At 34.5% G+C, this 18,757-nt stretch overlaps 1 protein-coding gene across 12 annotated transcripts in view; it reads right to left on the reverse strand.

The window, feature by feature from the left end:
• The window catches only part of SPOCK3 (SPARC (osteonectin), cwcv and kazal like domains proteoglycan 3), a 501,562-nt gene that overhangs the window by 335,742 nt on the left and 147,063 nt on the right, over positions 1-18,757 (reverse strand). For 2 of the 12 annotated variants that reach the window (XM_011532018.2, NM_016950.3), the window contains exon 3: positions 14,113-14,121. The exons of the other annotated variants lie outside the window; for them this stretch is intronic. In XM_011532018.2, coding sequence (XP_011530320.1) covers positions 14,113-14,121 — 9 coding nt within the window. The remainder of the gene's footprint in view (positions 1-14,112; positions 14,122-18,757) is intronic. 12 annotated transcript variants of the gene reach the window in all.

Consider the following 18,757-nt stretch of genomic DNA (forward strand, 5'->3'; position numbering starts at 1 on the left):
ATAACAAAAGATGAATTTTCATCCTCCTCCCTTTGAATAGCATATGGTTTTATGACTTGCGTGACTAATAATATGTGGCAGAATGGCTTTCAGGACATTCTCGTGCTAGTTCATGAGAAACCTTTCAGCCAACCACCATAAGAGAAACCCAAGCCACATAGAGAAGCCATTTGTCTATATCCCCAGCAGGGCTACCAGATGACATCCAAAATCAATTGCCAACCATGTGAGAGAACCATTTTGAACTTTTAACTGACTCAAAACTCAGCATCCATTTTACTGCCATCACTTTAGAGACTCAAAGTGAGAAGCAGCCAGCTAGGAAAGTCAGAACATGATATCATAAGATAAAAATAATAAACTGTGGTTTTAAGCCACTACATTTTGGGCTGGTTCGTAGCGGGCGGGTTTGTTGCAGAACAACGACTAGATGGAAGGTCTCCAGGCCATACAATTAGTCAATGGTTAAGATGAAATAAAATATACAAGATCTTGAGTCAGGTCAAGCATGTCTTTCATAACAGTGCATCTTCGGATACACAGATACAGAACCTCCAAACAATCCCTTGTTCACAGGATTTTGCTGTAATTAATCACGCAAATCCTTCCAATGTCATTCCCCTACTGAGTACCTGATGCTAAATGCTGGCTTTAGCCTTAGAAAATGGTTATGTAACCCTGTAGAAGAATCTTAGAGAAAATCCTGAGGAATCATGTAGCAACTTGGCTCTGCATATGAATGTTAATCTGTATTCCATCCATATTTCTCTGAGTTTTTCCTTCTTACCCACTGGCTTGTTTTCCCTTCTGGATTTTTCATTCATTCCCTACTGCTCATCAGTTATTCTGAATCCAAACTTACTTTCCTGACTAACTCCCCAATCTTGACCCACTGGTTTCTATTAAGTCTCGCTTGAAAGCAACAACCATCACTGTTGAATTATTTTTTCCACAAGCCAGTAAGTGGAAAAATAGGTCCTAGTCTCAAATTCCACCCAAATAGAACATAATTACAAACACAACAAAAATTACAGAAAGTATTTTGGGCCCCTAGTCTTCTCCAGGAAAGAAAAGATTGGGCCAGAAGTCCCACACTGAAAGATCCTACTTTTTCCCAAGGAGTAGGTCAACCAGCCAAATATTTATAGTTGTGGGAAGCATAAATGGCAGGGAGACCCCTGATTTTTAACCTTTCTACAACCATTTTATTTTCATTCAAATCTCCATAATCAAAGCAAAGTTTAATATGCTATTGTTCCACTTATTGACAAATACTTTGTTAATCTTTATATATCTATACAGAAATATAAATAATATAATGATTTTGTAACTCTATGCTAAGGAGTTGGGAGGGAAATTTTCTATGATTTCTGTATTACGTGATTATAATCTCCCAAACCCTCTCAAACCAAACTTTAGAATTTTCCTATTATAATTAACTTTTATTGCTTCCTGTATTTTGATAGCTTGGATAAATCATAAGGTATTGCTAGTTCTAAAGCTAAAAAATAGCAATGGCAATCTGTTTTATTCTGAAATAGGTTATATATTATGGCATATATATGATCTCATTTACACATCTCATCTTATTAGGGGAAGAATGGCTAGCATAACAGTTAAGCCAATAAATTTCACAAAAGAGGAAACTTTCCTGTGTAGAAATACTTAATACATGATTTGATCACAAAATAGATTAGGTAAAGCTTTGTCTGGGTATAAAGGAATTATCTATATGAGACAAACTATCTGCTTCAAGCCCCCAAGTGTCACATTTATTACCCAGGTAGCACTCATTTTCCATGTTGTGTCTTAGAATCCTGAAAGAATTCATTTATAACACTTTGGTGAGCCTTTTATTTTTTACAGAGCATTTTATGCCCCCTGACTTACCACAGATTAAAAACATAAATAAAATAAATAGTGTCAAAAGGACAGTGCCATTGGGACAATTCCTCATTTGTCTCTGAAAGTCTCTGAAAATTGAGGTTAGAATCCCTCTGAATATATAGAGACTGTGTACTGGTTAGTTTTAAATTGATATGCAAAACTTAAAATTCATTTATGTCAGAGAAAGACACAAAGAAATACTTTGCCTCAATAAATAAATTAAGAATCTTTTGTTTGTTTTATTATACTTTAAGTTCTAAGGTACATGTGCACAACGTGCAGGTTTGTTACATAGGTATACATGTGCCATGTTGGTTTGCTGCACCCATCAACTCGTCGTCTACATTAGGTGTTTCTCCTAATGCTATCCCTCCCCTAGCCCCCCACCCCCTGACAGGCACCGGTGTGTGATGTTCCCCACCCTGTGTTCATGTGTTCTCATTGTTCAATTCCCACCTATGAGTGAGAACATGCGGTGCTTGGTTTTCTGTCCTTCTGATAGTTTGCTGAGAATGATGGTTTCCAGTTTCATCCATGTCCCTGCAAAGGACATGAACTCATCTTGTTTTATGGCTGCATAGTATTCCATGGTGTATATGTGCCACATTTTCTTAATCCAGTTGGGTTGGTCCCAAGTCTTTGATATTGTGAATAGTGCCGCAATAAACATAGGTGTGCATGTGTCTTTATAGTAGCATGATTTATAATCCTTTGGATATATACCCAGTAATGGGATCGCTGGGTCAAATGGTATTTCTAGTTCTAGATCCCTGAGGAATAGCCACACTGTCTTCCACAATGGTTGAACTAATTTACACTCCCACCAACAGTGTAAAGGGGTTCCTATTTCTCCACATCCTCTCCAGCATCTGTTGTTTCCTGACTTTTTAATGATCGCCATTCTAACTGGTGTGAGATGGTATCTCATTGTGGTAAGAACTTTTAAATATTAAGAATTTTCATTGTAACTATAAAGACATTAACACATGTAAAAACATTTAATAAAAATAGTGGCTTGAATTTATTACTCACTCACCCTGTACCAGGAACTGTTCTGAACACTTTACTCTCAATATCTGCAAGAGGTAAGTGATTCTATCACTCCCATTGTACAGATGGGAAAGTGAAGCAAAGAGAGATTACATGATCTGCTAAAGTTTACACAACTATTTAGAAGTACTCTTGAAATTAGAACCCCAGAAGTATAGCCCCAAAGCCTTCATTTGAAACCATTCCAGCATACCACAGGTCAGCAGCCATGATGGCCTATGGGCCAGGCCCACAAGTTGTTTTTGTAAATAAAGTTTTATTAGCCACACCCCTTTTTTTTACATGTTATAACTGCTTTAGTGCTTACCACAGCAGAGTTCAGTAGTTATGACTGAGGCCATAAGGCCCGAAAAGCTTAAAATATTCAGTATCTGGTCTTTTACTACACTATCTTATACCATCCTATACTTCACCCACAAAAGAAGGCTTAAAAAAATGAGAAAGCAATATTTAATGGAATACTTCTCTATTTCCATGTAGGAAACAATAAATCTTTTGTTGAGATGGAGAAGACATTTATTGTTCTTAAAGAACATTAATTTTAAGAACGTTAATAGAATTTGCATAATTCTATTCTCAAATCTTAATGTCTCCAAATTTTCTAAGTACTTTTATTTTTTCTTTTCTGACCATCAGTATCTCATCTAGCTTTGGAGACAATCTACAGATGAATTTATCATATTTTTAGAAAAAGTAATCACGATATGTATTCTGAAGCCAAGGAAAATAAGATTATAAAAAGCTTTATGATGTACTATATAGAAAAAATTTTAGACACAGGTTGCAAATATCTATTCCACATTTTCATGATCCTCAATTTAAAATGAAAATCAAAGGCTAAATTAAGGTCAAGTGCCTCTAAGTACTAAAAATGTGCTTCTAATCCTAGAATGCTTCTTAGGTTAGTAAATCAAAACTTTAGATATTGTTTACTGCTTAAGCAAAATAACAATACCAATATTTCCATATTTATTTTGCATTCTTTGTAAAAATTTATGTTTCCATATGTGCAATAAATATTAATACATTTGTATCATATTAATAATGTAAAAATATTTATGGTATTTCCATAATTTTACATTTGATATTTATAACATTATCTTAGTGTTCATAATTCATAATTTTAAATCATCTATAATGCTAAATATTGAATATAGTTTATAAGACTGTTTAATTATATCATCAAATATAAATACATACATTTATATAACATAAAAATGTTAAATGCATGTCCGTCTGATTAAATATTTTCATATAGAGTCAACAAAAATACAGTGCTGTTCAAAATTTCAACTAAATACTGTATAAAATAAATAACGGTCATCATAAATGAAAGTAAAATAATAGTTATCTTTTTAAGAAAGTACTATCCTGAAAAATGGTGCATTCATTGTTTCATTATTGAGTCAAGAATGTATTTCTGTGCTTTTTTTCCCCTCTAGTAGCAAAAATAAGCTCTTTCATATTGTATACTGGTTAGGTATTAGGGAGGATGTATTTATAACTGAACTTTAATTATTTCCCTTTGAGTCCTTTATTGTGATTAATACCTGTGAATACCTTCTTTGAACATATCTGTTTTTAGACACAAACTGAAAGCTGTTTTGTTCCCACTGAGTTTTGATTTTTGTTTTTAAGATGCTATTTTTAATTTATTTCATTGTTGTTATTTGGTTTCTACATGTATAAATTGAGAATCTGATGCATAGTTGCTATTACCTGTAGTAACAGTGTTACATTCATAGTTCATGGCTTCTAAAATCTTTGAACTAAAATATGATTCATTCTTATCTAAAAGATTTGCTTTGTGACTATTATATCCTTTATTATCTCTTTAAAATTATATAAACATAAGACTTTCAAAACACCCTTTGCACTACTCAAAAATTTAGTATAATGTGTATATCTTGGAGTTTGTCCCAATATTTAGTTTTAGATTTCACTTTTTTCAAAACACTAAAATAATACTGCCAAATAATCAACACACTTTCTAAAAAAAAAAAAAATAGCTAGTTTACTTGAAAGCTAAAACAGAATTATAATAATCAGTAAAGGGTTATGTGGAAGATAGTAGCTAACAACAGTTCCCCAGGAATCCACTTGAGTTTGCAGTGGCAGTACGTGACTCACCCCCTTTTTCAGTAAAGATTTATCACTTGTGTATAGCTACAAAATAAATTATGCCAAAATTTAGCAGCTTAGAACAACAGACATTTATCTTACACTTTCTGAGTATCAGAAATCTGGGCATGGTTTAGTTGAACGCTGCTGCCTGCAACTCTTCCACGTGGCTGAAACTAAGGTGTCAACCAAGGCTGCCTACTCTTCTGAAGTCTTGACCAATACTTCACGTATTTGGGGGCAGGATTTGTTCCTTGCTAAGTTTTGAACTGAGGCCTTCAGTTTCTCACTGGCTCAGTTCAAGTTCCTTGCCACATGGGCCTCTCCACAGGGCAACTCACATTATGGCTTCCCCTACTGTGGGAACTCCAAGAGAGCGTGAGAGGATGGGTAATATAGAGTGTGGTCTTTTTAAAGCTGATTTCAAAATGACATCCTATCGCTATAGCATTGTTTTTGGAGAAGTGAGTCACTAGCCCAAATTTGAGCACAAAAGCATGAATACCAGAATGTAGGGATCATGGCAGCCATTTTAGAGGTTCTCTTCCACAGAGGGAGGGCGAGGAGTTGCTGGAAAATCTCTGGAAACTCTTTTTCTCATTTGACAAAACAGTACTTCAGTTTTTCTATTGTCAGGATTTTCAAAGAAAGAGAGGTCAAATCTCACTCATTTCCTTTAAAAAATTTTCATGGATACATAATAGTTATACATAGAGTACGTACAATGTTTTGATACAAATTTACAATGTGTAACGATCAAATCAGGGAAATTGAAATATCCATCACCTCAAGCATGTATCATTTTTGGTTTAGGAACATTCCATTTCCACTCTTAGTTATTTTGAAATAAACAATAAGTTACTGTTAACTAAAGTCGCCCTACTGTGCACTCATTTTGTTTAATTTCAAATTCAGTAAACTTTGTTGTGTATGCCCGTACTATTTGGCAGCACTTCTAAAGCTATTTGTCAGGAGGAACCAGTTTTATTTTTTTTTTCCAATGGATTATGGAACAAACCTTTTACAAAATACAAGAAAATTAACCACTTAAAAATTGAAATGAAAAAAAGACATGCAAAATACAAAGGCAAATTCATTGCTTTTAGAATTAATCAATATATAATTTTTCCGTCAAGTTGCTGTGAAAGCTTTTCCAATGCTGACACTCAATTTCTGCACCCATCCTACTCGGGTTACAGAGCAGCACCAATCTGTGGACCATTCTTTGAGCCACACTGATCTCTATGACATAGAGAAATGCAGTTAGAGATGTGTCTCCCAGACTTGCTGCCTCAAAGTTTGCAATTTCTGATAAAAATCTACGAATTCAACCAATAATAAAATGTCACATCTCCAAAAGGCTGTGAATATTTCAGTTAATTTGATAGCTGGGAAAAGTACACTTAAATCATTTTTGCTTATGGTAAAGGGAGATAAAAACAATAACAATATTTTGCTTTTTTCTTTCTGTGTTTTAGAAATGAAGTCTTACTGTATGCCCAGGCTGGAATTCAGTAGCATGACCACAGCTCCCTGCAACCTTGACTTCCTGGGATCAAGAAATCTTCCCACCTCAGCCTTGAAAGTAGCTAGGACTACAAGTGCACACCACCACACCTGGTCAATATTTTACTTCTATTTTGTATGTGAATTAGGATATATATGTGTTCTTCTCTCTTACATTAATCTACGCCCATCAAGCAGCTATCAACAAATGTAGCCATGGAAGATAAATATGTTTGCACATTTAAAAACTTACATTAAAATGAATCACAGCACTAACGAGAAAAGAGATACCAAGCCATTAAAATACATTGAGGGAAATATATTTTAATGTCATATTACTAAGCAAAAGAAGTTACTCTATGAAGGCTGTATACTGTATTATTCCAACTGTATGGCATTCTGGAAAAGGTAAAACTATGGAGGCATGAAAAGATCAATGGTTGCCAGGGTTTGGGTGGGGAGAAGAATGAGGCAGAGCCCAGAGGATTTGGGGAACAGGGAAACTATTTAGTGCCATACTATAATGGTGGATACATGCCATTATACTTTTGTCCAAACCAGTAGAATGAACAATATCAACAGTGAACCATAATGTAAACTATAGATTTTGGAGGCTAATGATATGTCCAGAAGGTTTAGCAATTGTAACAAAGTGTGATCACTCTGGTAGGGATGTTGATCATGGGAGACTTGAGTACTGGAGGCAGAGAGTATGTGGGAAAACTCTGTACCTTCTGCTTGCTCGATATTGCTAGGAACCTAAAACTGTTCTAAAAAAAAGAAAAGTCTATTATATTAAAAAATAAATCACAGAAAAATTTTATAACATAGCTAATATTATATAGTTTGAATTTACATCTCTAATTATAATGAACTACACACAGTAGAAGATTTTAAATAATGCTTACACTCTATGCAATGGAAACCAATGTAAAAATTATACTCTGTATGTTCACAAATATCCCTTATAATGATAATCTACAAAATAAACAATTTTAAAAAACTGTACAAACTGCCTATTTTCTTAGGTGTCCACTAATTGATTAGGCTTATGACCCACTGTGAAACTATTTTTTGCATTAGCCAATATAATAGACAATAATGTATAACAAGAAAATAAAAAAGATGTGATTTGAGCCATCAAAAGGTAAAAATTAGAAACATTTTAAATTTTATATATTCTTTTAATAACTTAGCTTGCGATTTTTACATCCTTTTAGAAACATACCAATAAATATACGTTTACTATAATTCAGTCAAGTCTGCACATGAGATTAAAATGAATATCTGGCAATCTGAGACTTATGTGTAAAACTATGCATGGAATTGAGTTGATATTTTAGACATTGCATTAAAATATGTCAATTGAGATCAAAATAAGAAGCAAAAAATTGTACAGATGAAAGGCACCAGAAGATTTCTCATTTCATTTTATATTAAGTGACTCTACATAATATATGCATCTAAAATAATGGGATTCCTTCAGTATTTATTTTATGATTTGAAAATGTCAGTTTTAAAAGGATAATAATTTCATTAAATATAGAGAGATAAGTTTTCAAAGGATAATCATTCTACATACACACACACACACACACATCAAAATTCTTTAGAGACAAATAATCCTGCATTGCCTACTATTTTGCACTAATGTTCTCTCACCCATAACAGAAAAAAAAGCTATAGCCCAAATGAAAAGTGTAGAAATGAAACTCAAGGAAATGCACAAGATGTTCTTATCTAATTGCATCTTAGCTCAAACTACCAGAACATTTTTAAGAGAACAAGATTCCCTTTAGAATAATCCTGTGTACAGAAAGACAATCTCTATATTACATGTGTTTTAAGTTAGAAAAAAAGAAAGTTGCTTCAAACATCTAAGACATAAAATTCTGCTTCCCTGTTCCTTCTTTTGAATAAAAGAAAAAGAATGATTTTCTAATGTGGCCCAATACTAATATTTAACAAATAATTCATTTTATCGATGCTCTGTACTCCTCATTTGCACCTTAATATGGCCCAAAGTTATGTAAGTTTTGAATATTATAGAAGAAAATATTACTATTGGTAACCATTGTAATGTATTTTGTATATTTAATTTCATTATTTATTGCACTTATTACCTGCAGGTGAGTCCATTCATAAATATAAGAGAGGAAAGAAAGGTGGAAGGAAAGAAGGAAGAAAAGAAAAAGGAGGCAACATGGAGAGGAAACGTGGCTTTAATTTAACAAATTATTCCTTTAACACCTTTATGCCATACCATGGTAGCCTGTAACCACTGGAAGATGAAAATGCATAAACATAGTCTCTGCTCTCATGTAATTTACATTCTATAGAGAGTCATGGTAGCAACATAATGTAGCTACGTATTAATACAAAATGTTAAACCTTCCTTAGTTTGACATGATCAGGGTCAGAATGCATGCCATGAGAGCTGTGGCTTAGGTAAGATGTTTCATGCAGAAGTACTAACAAAAAGATGGAGATGCAAGGAAGTATAAAGAAATCTAGAAACTACAGGCACTATCAGATCAGAAACTCTGTATTATCAGGTCATAATGTTTATTACCTATGTAATAGGTAAATGTATACCTATGTGTATCCAGGTCATAACTCTGTGTGTGTGTGTGTGTGTGTGTGTGTGTGTGTGTGTGTGTGTGTGTGTGTGTGTGTGTGTTTGCAGAGGGATCTGGAATGTTGGGAAGGAATGGGGACGGTAGGTAGTACAGCAAAAGGTAAGTTGTCTAAGGTGAAATAGATAGGCAAACTCATAATCAGAGTTGGTTTTGCAAGATATATATTTCTTATTTATTTCCAGATTCAAAGCAAGCCTAAGTGTTTTAAGGTTGATGTATGCATTCTGGAAAAATCAACAAATTAACATATTTTCATGAGTCCTTAATACCTAGAGAGAGTTCAGGTATTAAGTTTTCTTTGAATAATAATAATAATAATAACCCATAATCACCCTATGATGCAGGTATCATCCTTTACCTCAATTTACAGATGAGAAGAGGTTAATTTTATTATGCTTCAATTTTCTAATATTTAATTTTATTATTTAATTTCCAAGTGCAAGTAGCAATCTGCTACGGAAAATAATTTAGGAATCCTAACCTAAATTATTATTGCTTATTGATTTACTCAGCAGATACTTACAGTCGTCTTATATTGCAGCTCTAGGCAAAAGCTAAAGTGCTCCCTGTATGCCTGGAGCTTAGAGTCTGACTCTGGGGCTTTGTACTCAATACAGTTCTATATAATTTTTATAAATAGGAGAGCAGTTTTACAATCACTGGAAAGATCTCAGTTTTTCTAAATTTATTCTATTTAGATGTTTACATTTTATTCTTTGCATCTCCAAATGGCATTTGGGCAAATGAAAAAAAAAAAGTCTCTAGCATTTATAAAGGTATATGCACAGAAATCTTAGATTCATATTCAAAGATACTGTCAAATATAAGAAAACAAAACATTGAAACATCTGTGAATATCTGAAGTACATTTTTAAAACACAGAACTAAACCTTATTTCTTTCCTCTTCAAAATGTGCTAGTCTTCAAAACTTTCAAAACTATTAATGACTTTTCAAAGCTTCCCACAAAATTGTTTTGTCAGTATCCATTCATGAGGAACAACCTATATCCCTTGATAGAATCTAATTTATGCTCCTTGCTGTGTTTTCTTTGAACATTTCTGGGTTTAATTATCTGGAATAAACTGTTCCTCTTGACAAGAAATACTGTTTCTTGGTTTAATTCCATGTCTATAGAAATTTAGAATCAGCATCCAATAGAAATGGGGATAAATCTTTATAGACTAAATACACCAAGAAAATAAATGTTCATGGAACATGGTGAAAAGGGCCATTTCCTTAGTTTTCATCAGTGATTAGATGCCAAAAACACATAAGAAAGAAAAAAAAATCAAATGTAATGGTCAACTTCTCTGTGAATGTGTGATTAATAATGCCAGTCAATTGAATCTTGTAAGCAGTTCAGAATGTTGTTAATTACAGTTCAGGGAAAGCAAATTCGATATCAAACACTTTTAAGAAAAAGTAAATGGGATTTTATGGTGTTGGCAACTGTAATGTGTTTTGAGCAGTGCTGAGCTACTTCATACATTAGCATAGTTGTTTATGGACTTGGTGATATGATATTTAAAACATACTCTAATGTGGGTATTAAATTAGATCAGAAACTGTGCCTACCAGTTTCAGGGTGGGAGGCCATATGTGCTATAAAGATAAAAGGATTTAGACAGTTGAAAAAGCAGTGAGTAGAGTTTAAAATCCCTACAAAGAGGAAGTTGAGAGAATCTGCTATCTGGGGGGAGGAGGTAATCTCTCACCAAGCAGAGTTCTTGCAAAATGCATAGATGGCAAATTTGCCTTTAACAGATGTTCTCCACTCCCACCATTTTCCAAACTTGAGTACTTTTCATGGATTTTGGCCTTAGAACTCTATATGTCCCTAATATTCAACTGCTTACTCTCTAAGATAGTTCACCTTGCAGGTGAAGAGACAATTTGCCATCAGTATTGTCTGACTTATGTTCTGTTGCACTAGTGGCTGAGGAAGTGAGAAGGCATAAGAAGGTCAGTTGATACTAAGGAATGCCACTTGCAAACAAGTTTCCAATTGTCCCAACAATTAGTTATTTTGATTGATTAACTTTCCTTTTATATTGCAAACATTACCTGAGAACATACAATCAGTCATTCCTAACAAGAAATCACAGCAATCTTGAGCAGTACTGTGCTCTTATTAACGGGAATGAGCCTTTCTCTCATCTCCACCCAAAGGAAATAGAAAGGACAAAGAATCATTTAAGATCATATTCCATTTTAGGAAAGCAGAGCTCTAGGAGTGACGTCTAAACAGAGTGTTTAAAAATCTAGGGGGCACCTTGAGGAATTAGGTTAAGAGTGAGATTTAGAAGAGTAAGTGGAATGACAAAAGCAACAGAGGCCATGCAATTTTAACTCAGATTTTGATGGTAGTCATACTATCTACCTCTACCTACCCGAGATAGAAAAATAAATGGCATGTTAGATTATCTCTTGCAAGGAGGCTGGGAGGAGGCACACCCACCACAAGTCAAAAGGAGACCTTGAGATTACCATTTTCTATGCCAACTTCTTGTCTTATCTTGATGATTCTGTCCTATATTCTCTTTCTTTCTTTTTTTTTTTTTTTTTTTGAGATGGAGTTTTGCTCTTGTTGCCCAGGCTGGAGTGCAATGGCACGATCTCGTCTCACTGCAACCTCCTCCTCCTGGGTTCAAGTGATTCTCCTACCTCAGCCTCCCGAGTAGCTGGAATTACAGATGTCCTATATTCTTGATGATGATATCCTATATTCTTCAAAGAATGCTTCTTTGAAGCTCACCTGATAAATCCCTGTTTTTGCTCTTATGCTGGCTTTTGAGGCAGCATGGCATAGCAGAAAATCTAGAAATAATACAGACAGGTAAAAGTTCTAGCTCAACAACTAACTGGTGAAGGTCACTGAAAAAATTATATACTTTTAGCTTCAATTTATTCAACTGAAAAACTGTGAATAATATCACCTTTGCTGGGCTTTGAAGATATTACTACATGGAACACATAAATACACCAAGCACAATTGCTGGCATTTAACACACTTTCAGTAAATAAAGTGTTGATGTCTTCTTTTTTTACTATGAAATAATATTAAAAGGAAAAAAAGTCAGTGGCTCTCCTGTTAACATTGTAGAGAGTCAACTCTCCATTCATATACTCACTCACTCACTCATGCATATTATGTTCATGTGTAGTTAATATGAAATAAAGACAATACTGACACACAATTTAGATATTTCTGCCACAACCCCACCAAAAAGGAAAAGCAAAACCAAGGATGGAAAAATACTTTTACAACAGGATTAAGTTGTCATTAAAATCTCTGTCTGGAGAATTCAAATGGGAACTCTGTGAATGACTAACGATTCAGTAGCAACATCAGCAGGTGGAAATACCTTGGGAAAGAGAGAGGCAAGGAGGGAGCCAAAAATAGGAGAAAGTCAAGGGATGGCTAAGCAAAATCTACAGCTAATATGAAATTGTGAAGGAGAAAATATATAGATACAGAATGGATAAGGTAATAGGAGTAGGGAAAGCAGAAGTGAGTCTTATTAAGATACAGGAGGAAACCAAAAGAACTGGCCAACTTCTGTCTCATCTCCTGAATGGCATTTCATTCCAGCCTTCCTAATGTCAAGCTGTAGTACAGTTTTGTTCCTCCCATGAATTCTTCATGCATGTCTCTTATCAACACATGCATCCTCACACTCAATATCCAATACTTAGGGTACCCAAGTGAATCTCTGTTCTGACAAACCCAAATCTCACAAATACATCATCTGAGTGATAATTTTCTTTAAATACTTTGGTATGAAGAGTTTGAAGCACATGTGTGCAACTTATGTTTAAAAGGTGCTTAGCACTTGATTAATTAGCATTTGAAATCCCCTAGTCAGGAATCAATATTCATGTCATAGAAATCTGCACAAGAAAGGTAGTTAATTATGTAGTATAAGTTAGTCATATGGTTGGATAGAAAAAGTGTGAGCCTCAAACCCCTTGTGTGATCTGTTTGGTTTTATGCCAAATCTTTTACAGAAGTTGCCCAATATGACCAGAAGATCAGTTGGTTTTGCCTTTACATGGGAGTTTTGTAAACTACTGCTGGCAGGCCAAAACTGGCCATTGTCTGTTTGTAAATAAAGTTGTGTTGTAATTTGTTTACATATTGTCCGTGACTGCTTTGGGGACTTCAACAACAGAGTTTCATAGTTATGAGGAATATCTGTGGAAAGATACTCAAGGACATACGAGCAGGCAATATGACTGTTTTATGCTTGTTTACTAAAATGAAGTTGGATGAATTTAGACTAAGATTTTCTTATTCTCATGTCTTGGTGAGGTTGTGGGGTCAGGGACCTACAGCCTTCCTTGATCTTTGTTCAGTTCTTAGTTGTAACACAAATCTCAAAAGACTGCCATGTTGGAGGTTTTTCTTCCAGGAAGGAAGGAAGGAAGGGAGGGAGGGAGGGAGGGAGGGAAGGGAAGGAAGGGGCAGAGAGAGGACAGAGGGAGGGAGGGAAGACAGAGGGAGGGAAGGAAGGGAAGAGGGAGGGGTGAGAGAGTAATAAAGAGAGAGAATGGGTATGAGAGAGAGAGAAAGAGAGAGAGAGAGAAAGGCCAACCGTGATACCGGAAACTGATCTGACTTCACAGCTCAGGCCCATTGTGATTTTATAATTCTTGGGTTCACAGATAAGCCATAATGTTCTCCTGTCGGATATTAACAATCTTAAAGAACATTCATTTCAGACAACGTCGTTGTAAAAACTTCAAAATACCAAAGAGCCCCCCTCACACAATGAATGAGTGGTACTTCTTAACTAATTACAGCTTTATGGTTGCCCTAGGCTGTTCTTCCTACAGACAAGATGTATTGAGATAGCTAGTCATAGAATTGCCACAAAATTTCTGTCGACACCCAACCCAAAGCAAACCTCTACTTCCTCAGACTTTCCCTAAGATTCCTCCAACCAAGCCCAAATCCTGTGTCAGGTTGTCATCTGCTCCTACTGAGATGCCCCACAGTTCCCCACCATGTGCATTCTCTCTTGCTGCAGTGAATAACGAATTCAACTTGCTCAACTCTAAGTGTCCCTGTGGCTGGATGAAGCCCACTGACGTGGCCTTTCCTTTCCCAGTGCTTCTATCTACAATATAGCTGAGTGTACAACCTGGTATCTCCATGCAGACTGCTCCGCTGTGTGAAGGACTGTATTGTCATTTTGTTTAGACAACTAAGTATGACCTTTCATTTCAGGTTCATTTTATACTTACTTTCAGGGGCAGGCTTAGTTTAGGACTTTTGCTAGTATAATTGTCTACTTGAAATGCTGTGGTCAAACTAGGTTATATCATTCAGCAGAGTATTGAGTCTGCATGAATGATGTGAAACCCATTGATAAAATTTATATGAATTTCAGAAAGATAGGGATAACAAGAGAGGATTATAGAAACTTATACAAGTTATTAATTTTCTTTGTTCATAGTTCCTGAACATCAGTTATAACACTGAAGTCTTAGAAATTAGTTTCTTTAGCTTCAGGGCTTTTAAACCTAAATTGTTATGTTACATTTTTCTACCAAGATCACAAAATGTTAAATAATGGTACATCGCCTGGGTAGGCTAACTGAAAACTTTTTATTGATATGAAATGTCAGTAACTTGGGTGACTATTTAGCAGAAAGGTCAGGTGTTTTTCAAGGTCATGTAAAATATGGAGAATAATCCTTGGTTTGCAATGTTTGAAACTTAAGAGGATAAGCACAGTATAATAATTAGTCTCAAATTTCATGGTTTATGAGAATATGTGTTGCTAACATACATGTACAAGAGCACCTAATATTAGGTCTCTCAATTTATTATATATTAAAAGTTATTAAAAGATATAGGCCATATCATGAGAAAATGTGAACCAGAAAAAATGATATAGTTGATCATTGCCTGAATATGCTGGAAATCATAATCTCTGTCAACCTCCAAACAGGAAATGTACATAATAACATTGGTTCTACCATAAGAAACTATTGCATATTTTTTCTTTTTTTAAGTTCAGTTTCTCTGCAATATTTTCCTTTTCTGTATATTTCTCTCTTTTATATTTTTTCTTCTCTGAGAATAAGTTCACCATTGATACTCAATGTCACTGCACAGCCCCAAGGCAAATACACTGATGTCAATGGAAATCTAGATAGAACTTGCATAGTCCAGAAACATTGTCTTGACAGCTGCTTTTGCAACAGCCCTTATGTATGTGGAGTGTAGCCGAAAAGGTCATAGTGATGACTAGTACTGCCTTCGGTCTTGAAATTATTCTAAATTTCCTATCATAGGAAGTGGGAAGTCTGGGAGGGATCCACACTAAAGGAGCTTAGGTATCTGAGGTGCCCACCCTCCTAAGAGTTCAATTTACATCTTGGTGTCTTTGGTGAAAGTTAGAATGAAAGTAAATATAAACTACACATTGATTATTAATAACCATCAAGAATAATATTTTTAAGTTTCACATTAAAAGGTTAAATTAGACGACAATGTGATTTATAAATATATTAAAAATGAGAGCAATCATACATAGAAACCCATTATATAATAAAAAGTCTTGTAGGTACAAACAGCCCCTGGAAATTCAGTTTGACAGTGGGAGGCTTATTAATTGAAGAATCTGTTTTTGATCCCTTCCCTCTACTTTTGTCCAGAGGGATCCAGGGTGATGGGTTCACTTGACTGGAAGCTTATATGAGCAAACCATTTGACACAGTTAATAGTGATCTGGATAAAAACTCTAATGTCATCTAATTCAGGCAAGCAAAATGTTGGGATCAAAGGAAGTAATAACCCCAGTTCATTCCTCCCTTGTCTGATAGTTGAATCTAGAAAAAAAAAAAAAACACAAATGTCCTTTGAGGAATGACTATAGGAATTTGAGATGCTTATCTTGGAAGGGAAAAGACTTTATAGAGCAGAGAAAAAATGAAAAGAGAGAAAAAAAAATGCCCAAACAGACTTTTTTCCTTAGCTATTAAATTGCTTATCAAATTGGACTGATCTCTGGCAGGTGCCCAGAAAGGTCATATTGGTTGTTAAAAAATGAAAGTTAAATTTATTCCAGGACCTCTGTCTCCAGTTTCAATGTTCTTTCCATGACCATTTTTAAGAGGTCATGAATTTGGTGACTTTGGAATCAAACAATACTCATTTGAAATATCTGCTTCCTTCCTTTCAATGGGAGGTAATTTTTCTTTTAATGAGGGAGAGCCATGTGGCGAAATTCATCGTTTGAAAAGAGGAATCTAGCGTCATGATGGAAGATGTGTCATAGCCAAAAGAGAAGAGAATCATTCTAAATATACATTCTAGGAATGACTGGATTTTCATGCTGTGCTATACTGAGTTTCTGTAAAACTTTCCTTCATCATTTTTACTTGGGGAAATACAGTCCATTTTTATAAGGCCCTGTACAGATGGCAACTTATTTGGCAAGATGGTAAGTCCATACCACCTCAAAGTAGAAGTAATATATATTTGTATTCAGTTTAAGTTCCCAGAACAGAAATGACATCTCATTATGATATAGGTATTTATGTCAAACACAGCACATGATATATTATGGGTACTTAATAATAAACATCCATTGTTGGGATAAACTACCCAGATTACAATGGTGATGTGGGAAGAACAGAATAAGATATTTGACCTACTAGGCTATGAGAAAGTAAATTATCGGTGGAAACTTTCTTTTTACAGTTCTTCACTAATGTATTCATGGGGTTATGTTCTTTATCTGTTTCAACCATTTTTCAACAAATAAGCTTTTTAAATGTCATAAAAATAAAATTATTTGATAATAAAATAGCGAAATTTTACTTAGCTTATTGATTTTAATGTTTTCTGAAAATCTGTGGGAAATAATATACTTAACTATAATAGTTCATCAGAAGACATTAATTTTAGTCCTTGTTTTGTTATTGCAAAATGAACCACATTTTAATTACATCATAGCTTCATATAATAAAATCCATTTATTAAAGTGAGACTAACATACTGTCCACTCACTAACGATCAATAGCTCAAACACAAGAGAAGTTAAAACAAAAGGATGCTGATAGTGGAAGTTCAGATAGATCTTATTTCTGTCATCCCTTTACCTAAGAAGTAGACTAAAAAGGATCTGGCTTTGGAATCAGATGAGTCTGAACATGGTTCTGGGTTCTGCTAACTGACGGGCTCTGTGGCTTGAGGAAAGTTACCTTGAAATTTCAGATTTGTTCTGTTTACAACTGTTAAATGGGAATAATGATAATGTTTATTTCACAGCATTTTTGCTACAATCAACACTTTTATTCTTCCAAGCCCAGAGGAAGGGTCATTAAACTGTCATTGTATTTTTCCCTGTTTCAGATGAAAATATTCACTTTCTACTTCTGCTATATTATATAAATATCTACTTTACTCAACAGAGCCAAAAGCTCCCTAAAAACAACCAAGGCTCATTCTTTATATAGCCTCTACAGCCTTTAGCACAACGCACAAAACAGTTGACTGAGAAATATTTGATCATTGAATTAATGAGATTACAAATTTAAACTTTTTCAAGTATAGTATTTTTTCACCATCTTCAGAAATGGATAAGTAAAGGTAGTTTAGGGACTTGACAATGAATATTAATGAGTAGACCGCCCAGATAGCAATCATGATGCAGGAATAGCAGACTATAGTACTTGGCCTACCTGGATCTATAAGAATATAAACAAAACATATTTCTTTGAACAAAATGATCTAAATAATTTGTCGGCAAATAATTTTATTTCTTAGATAATGCTTACTCTGTACCAGGCAGTGTTTGTAGTAACTTAAAATTTTTTACTCATTTAATAATCATAACTCTATGAGGTACAGTTGTTACTATAACTTCTTTTCTATAAGTGAGAAAACTGAAACATAGCTGTTCCATAAAGAACATGCCCAAGACCACAGAGCTTATAAATTTCAGAGCCAGAATTTGAAACTAGGCAGAGAATCCTCAGTTTCTGCTTTCCTAACTATCATATTATGATGTAGAATTTCAAAACATGTGTCATCACTACTCTCTTGAAATACAGAACGCAATTATTCTGACATTTGTAACAAATATATTGACGTTACAGTAAGAACCACTGATAGAAAATTTACTTTTTCTTATACTAGTGACAACAGAGCATACTTTTCCACAAATCTTATCCCCAGAACATATCTGTTCCTTTTCCTCCTAGGTGCTTAAACAATTCTTACAACATTTCACCATAAGATAGATGTTAGGAATCGTTCAGAGTCATTTAGAACTGTTTGATGGTGAGTACATGCTATCTGAGATTGCTCCTGCAGTAAATCGCCTAAAGTTATTGAATTTATTTCAAGTTATCACATATAAAGTAAACACCATTATTGACATGGAAGATATTTCATTTCCTCATGTTTCATTTACTTCCCACATACTAGGGAGCTAAAATGGACTATCAGGATAGAATTCTGGTACACATTGTTTCAAAACATCATTTATTTATAATCTAAATAAAAGCCTTCTGCCTTTAGCTATCAGAATTGTG

Source organism: Homo sapiens, chromosome 4, assembly GCF_000001405.40.
Source record: "Homo sapiens chromosome 4, GRCh38.p14 Primary Assembly".
Lineage (NCBI taxonomy): Eukaryota > Metazoa > Chordata > Mammalia > Primates > Hominidae > Homo > Homo sapiens.